Here is a 6000-nt window from a genome sequence, read left to right on the forward strand (position 1 = left end):
TGGCCCCGAAACTGTAAATAACGCTAAAGCATGTGCTATGTCATCACACAGGAATCACTGTAAGGAATAACAGGAAGGGACTTCAAAGATTATCTGGTTTAATTCACCCACTTTATAGATGAGGAAACCAGGGTCTAGAGAGGGAAGTCCCCTGAACAAGGTCACATGTATAATTAGTGGGAGACCATGTTTGTTTATAATAATACGATTCCACCTTCACTGTTCTCCAAACAGCTGGTGGCCCTACAACAGGGGGAAAAAAACAAAGTATAATACTGTTTCTGTATGAACAATGAATGAATAAACATTCATTTATTCAATCAATTTAGTCAGTCAACATTTAACAAACAGGTACTGAGCCTTCCCTTAGGCAAGGCAGTGTGCTAAAAGTTGGGGACCCAGAGTTGGACATATTAGGTGGAATCCCAGCAGGAAAGAGCTGCTCTGTGTTTCCATAGGCAACAATCAGAATGAGCTGGTCCTTAACAAGCAAAGGCCATTGAGGATTCTTCATGGCCTATGGGCATGGCACCAAGATAATGTCTCCTGCTACATGGAGTGAAAAAAAATCAAAGGGTCCTACATTGATATTTTCAAAATCAGGCCGGGCACGGTGGCTCACACCTGTAATCCTAGCACTTAGGGAGGCTGAGGCAGGCGGATCACGAGGTCAGGAGATCGAGACCAGTCTGGCTAACACGGTGAAACCCCATCTCTACTAAAAATACAAAAAAAAAAAAAAAAAAAAAAAAAATTAGCCGGGCGTGGTGGCAGGCGCCTGTAGTCCCAGCTACTCCGGAGGCTGACTGATTTTCAAAATCAGTCACAGGTGCCACTGACGTTAGTAACACACTCGTGAAAGGCGGCATGTAAGTGAGAATGGAGCTTATGCTAGGACATTGATTCGCATCCTTCACTGATTCTTGAATTGCAGTTTTCCTTATACTTCCTACTCTCTAAAAACATTACTTTAAAAATTTTATTTATTTATTTATTTATTTATTTATTTATTTATTTATTTATTTATTTTTGCAACAGAATCTCGCTCTGTCGCCCAGGCTGGAGTGCAGTGGCGTGATCTCGGCTCACTACAAGCTCCGCCCTTCCAGGTTTAAGCAATTCTCTGCCTCAGCCTCCGGAGTAGCTGGGATTACAGGCGCGTGCCACCACGCCCGGCTAATATTTTGTATTTTTAGCAGAGATGGGGTTTCACCATCTTGGCCAGGCTGGTCTTGAACTCCTGACCTCGTGATCCACACGCCTTGGCCTCCCAAAGTGCTGGGATTACAGGCGTGAACCACCGTACCCGGCCAAAAATTTATTCTTTAGGTACAGGAATAAGGGTCAGGAGATTAGAGGACTTTTCCATCAGGTAGATATTCTCAAGGTGTTAAAAAACAAAATAACCTTGCAGTTATTTAAGAATATCAGGTTAGATAAATGCCAGTGTTCCCTTTAGGTAACAATTATATTTCAGTAAATACTTTACAACATGTTTTTGTAGAAAGTATATATTTATTATTGAAGTATTTTTAAATAGAAACATATCCTATGAGTGAATATTTAGAATCAGAAATAAGCACCTAGGATATCCTTGTATATACAGGTCATAAGAGACCACTGAAAAATAGTGAACCCGCAGAGACTTTTGACAAATCTCACAGGAAGGATCCAAAATCCTAACGCTAAAGTTAAAAACTAATAGAAAATTGGCCGGGTGCGGTGGCTTATGCCTGCAATCCCAGCACTTTGGGAGGCTGAGGCGGGCAGATTCCTTGAGGTCAGTAGTTTGAGACCAGCCTGGCAAACATGGTGAAACTCTGTCTCTACCCAAAAAATACAAAAATTAGCTGGATATGGTGTGGGTGTCTGTACTCCCAGCTACTCGGGAGGTGAGATAGGAGAATCTCTTGAACCTGGGAAGTGGAGGTTGCAGTGAGCTGAGATCCTGCCACTCCAGCCTGGGTGACAGAGGGAGATCATGTCTCAAAAAAAAAAAGAAAGAAAGAAAAAGAAAATATGGTTAACTTCAAATAGGAAATTGCCTTACTCATGATACAACTAGTTCACTAACAAATAGAGAGACTTTGATTTCTAATTCTAACAGTGTGTTGATTAAGAACCTTGACCCTGGGAAAGACAGATCCGGTTTGAAATACTGGCTCTGTCACAATAGTTTCAGTAAGATTCCGTAACATTGATGACTATTAAGATAAAGTAGTAGAGTATTATATTTTATTTTCTTATGTCCAAAAAATTTGAAAGTGAAAATTTTTTATTTAGTATTCCAAGCAACATTTCAGAAATGTGTACAGATCGTATCCCATATCTCCTTTAGTCCAGTAACACGCATATTTCACCAAACACTGCAAATCCCTTTCTGGTTATCTCACACTGAGATCTTCTACAGCCGGTTGTTATCTCTTACGGACATTTAACCACAACCAGATTAAAAACTGAAGTTAAAGAAGTGACTGAAAACCAAAAAGGATTACTTAATTGCCTATTTTATGTAAAAACAGGCCTTAGGCCCTAAAGAGGAAAGTGAGTCTGTTTCTTAACAGTTAATTACTGGGAGGATAGTTTCAGTGACCACTCCACTGCCAGAAGAGTCAGCAAATTGGCAGCTTGTTCTCTCCTTCTCTCTTCTTGGTATTTCACCAAGATAAGGTGGTATGAGATCAGTTTCCCCCACTTTCTCCCTCCCTAGGCTTTCCATATTTCTTTAGAAATCAGGAACAGTTCCTTTCCTTTTTTCAATGCCAGTCCCCCACCCCGCTTAGAAATCAATGGAATTTGCCTTGGTTTAGGAAAGTTCCAAAATACTTCCTAGGCAGAATCATGGAAATTAAAGATGTGGAAGACCTCACTGGATCATCTAGTTCATCTATTTCCTATTAAAGAGTTTTCCAGATGGAAGATTTTTGTATGTTGGATGCCTCCTCTCATTTCTGCAGGGCCTGAAGTCAGATTTTGAGCATCCAAGTCTAATGTAGAGAGGTGAATAAGGCCTGCATTCAATAATTTCATAGACAGAAAAGTGCCTTATCCCAAAGGTGTTATCATATTACAACAGCTTTTGGATGGAAATAGGCGACACCTCATCAGAACAGTTATGTGAGAGTGCTGGATGGTTCTCCAAGCACCATGGGCTTGACATTTCTTTTGCAGAGAGCAGTGTTTTGTTGCTGTGTCCTGAGCACAATGGAGCCCATTGGGAGCTCAGCTTTTTCTTTCCTTTTTTTTTTCTTTTTAAAAAAATTGCTCTAGGTTTCTACATATAGGAACTGCTGTTTTGGTGACTTTTCCAGAAGGCTTTTGGAAGAGGGAGTGTTGTCCAACGGTACATAGATAGAATTGCAGAAGGCCATAGGCCAGTAACAGACACTTGTTTTACTAGCAATTTATTTATGAATCTCCCCATTCATATATTTTCATCAGCATCACGCAATGCTTCCAAAAAATGATACGAGTTTCTTCCTTAGTGTTATATTCAAGAGCCATCTTAAGTGAGTGCCATTGTGTTTACCTGGTTATGGTCACACTGGGGTCAAGAACAACCTTCAGTTTTATCGCAATATAGAAACATACTTTAAAATCAGGTGAGGTGGAATCCTGGCTGGCTTGTTGTATTAACTCTATAAATTTGTATAGATTATTTACCCTGAGTCTCAATGTACTCACTGAGGCAAAATGAATGTTAAAATATCTAGCCCATGCTCAATGCAAAATGAATAATAGTTTCTTTTCTTCCCCTTTAAAATATGACAATTAATTTGAGAGCCTTAGAAGAATCCCGAGCATGGGAAATAAATATTATATTTTCCCCTGTGTCACTTTACAAAAAAGACCAAATTAATTCTACATTTTTCTGGCAATAATGGTTTGCTTTTGAATGCATAGCTCCTTGATATTTCTTTTTAAAAAAAGAGAGAGGAGATGAAAAGAAAACCTTACATCTAGTATACAGTTGATAAGAGCAATTGAAAGAATTTTAGATACTGAGCTTACTAGATCCTTCAGTACTCCATTTGCCCTTCCACTAATAAATTAAAATTATGTCCTTTAAAAAATTATCTAATGCATAGGAATCATCAGACGGTTCACACTCGGGGGGTCAAAATTATTAAGTTTCTTATTTACCAGTAGCAGGAAACAACTTGAACTAACAAGCACAAAGGGCAACATATAGGAATGATTTTGAGAGTCTTTACTTAGAATCCTCTTCCCTCAGATACGTCTCAGTTTTTCTTGTTTTTCCTTAAAATTGTTATTCAAATGTAACTTTCTTAGTGAGTTCTTACATGACCTCTTTTAATAAAATTATAATCCCCTATAGATTCTCAACTCCTTTTACTTAACATATTGCATATTGACTTATTTATATTGTTTATTTTCCGTCTACTCTCACTAAATATAAGATCCATGAGGGCAGAGATTTTATACAATTTTAAGATTTATATATAGACCAATTGCTTTGGCCTCAGCAACTAAAACGAATGACTGGCACACAATGAGCATTCAAATATTTGTTGAATAAATGATTGAAATTGAATTTTATAAAATCTGAGAAAAAATAAATTTTGACTTCAGAAAGAACCAGGGCCATGTCCTTTCAAAACAATACTCTTTAGATTTTTTCCCCTGGAGACCTACCATTAACATGGAAGCCCATTTTTATGGATAGAATGTGTCTAAAGTCCCGTTCGATGTTCATTCTCTGTTAGCATACCCAAACAGTTAGTTTGGAGGAAGATACAACTAACTTGCCTATCATCATCATTAAATAGCACCTCAAACATTTCTGTGCTTAGATTCTGGAGCAGTGACCAACACTGAAATGCCTACTTACCATGTTCATATAAAGACATGAGGCGGTCTAGGTGTAATTCAGTGGGAGAAGTGTACCCTGTGTAGTGTACCCTGGTGACAATGTGCTGAAGTAGAAAAAAAAAATTCCTCTTTGAAAGAGTGAAGCTCCTATTCAATTTTGGCTGAGTGTTCTATTGGGTCAAAGCACATGTTGTTCAGAGCTTCTGATTTTAAAAAGAAGCTGCATATATGGATCTTTTTATAAAACCTCTCAATTTCAAAATTATATCAGCCACTTAAAATATTGTGTTAAAATATACTGCAAAGGTCATGCAAAGTATATCTAAAAGACTGGTGTGACTGACAGACCATATATTTATAATTTCTGGTCTAGCTTCCAATTCTAATTATCTGAGTAAATACGTGAGCCTCCTGTCCGCTCAGTGGCGGCATTAGATTCTCATAGGAGCACAAGCAATTGTGAACTGCACATGTGAGGGATCTAGGTTGCGTGCTCCTTAAGAGAATCTGACTAATGCCTGATGATCTGAGTCTGAGGTGGAACTGTTTCATGCTGAAAACATTGATCCCCGTCACCATCTGTGAACAAAATGTCTTCCTCGAAATTAGTCCTTGGTGCCAAAAAGGCTGGGGACTGCTGTTCTAAGCCATCTTAACTTTATTTGTGACATTTATACAATTATTAACAAAATCAACTGCTTTTCAAACTAGATTTCTAATACATATATATTTTTTTAAGTTTTTCTTTCTATAGAATCCCCTTTGCTCTCTTGATTATTTTAGCATGCTCTTTAGGATTTTTCTAGTTCTTTATATCCGTGTCTTCCTTGAGTGCTAAGTAGCATAGATTAAAAAACACTGAATTTGCCTACAGAAAACCTAGATTCTATCCCTGGATTGATCTATCTCTTACTAGCTATGCAAGTTTGAAATAAGCTATTTAAACCACTTAGATCTATGCAATTCTACTTTTAAAATGAATATAACAGCCCTGTTCTTTTTTACCTGATGTGAAGTCACCTACATGAAAGAATTTGCAAACAATAAAAAGCTTTAAATGTTAAGTCTTATTCAAGTGGAGGAGCACTGTGGCTTTACACAACAGCTGGGTCTCTCTGAATGCTTTATTTCTAATAAAATGCTTTATTGCCAATAACACTCTTTATT

This window comes from Homo sapiens, chromosome 7 (genome assembly GCF_000001405.40).
Source record: "Homo sapiens chromosome 7, GRCh38.p14 Primary Assembly".
NCBI classification, from domain to species: Eukaryota; Metazoa; Chordata; class Mammalia; order Primates; family Hominidae; genus Homo; species Homo sapiens.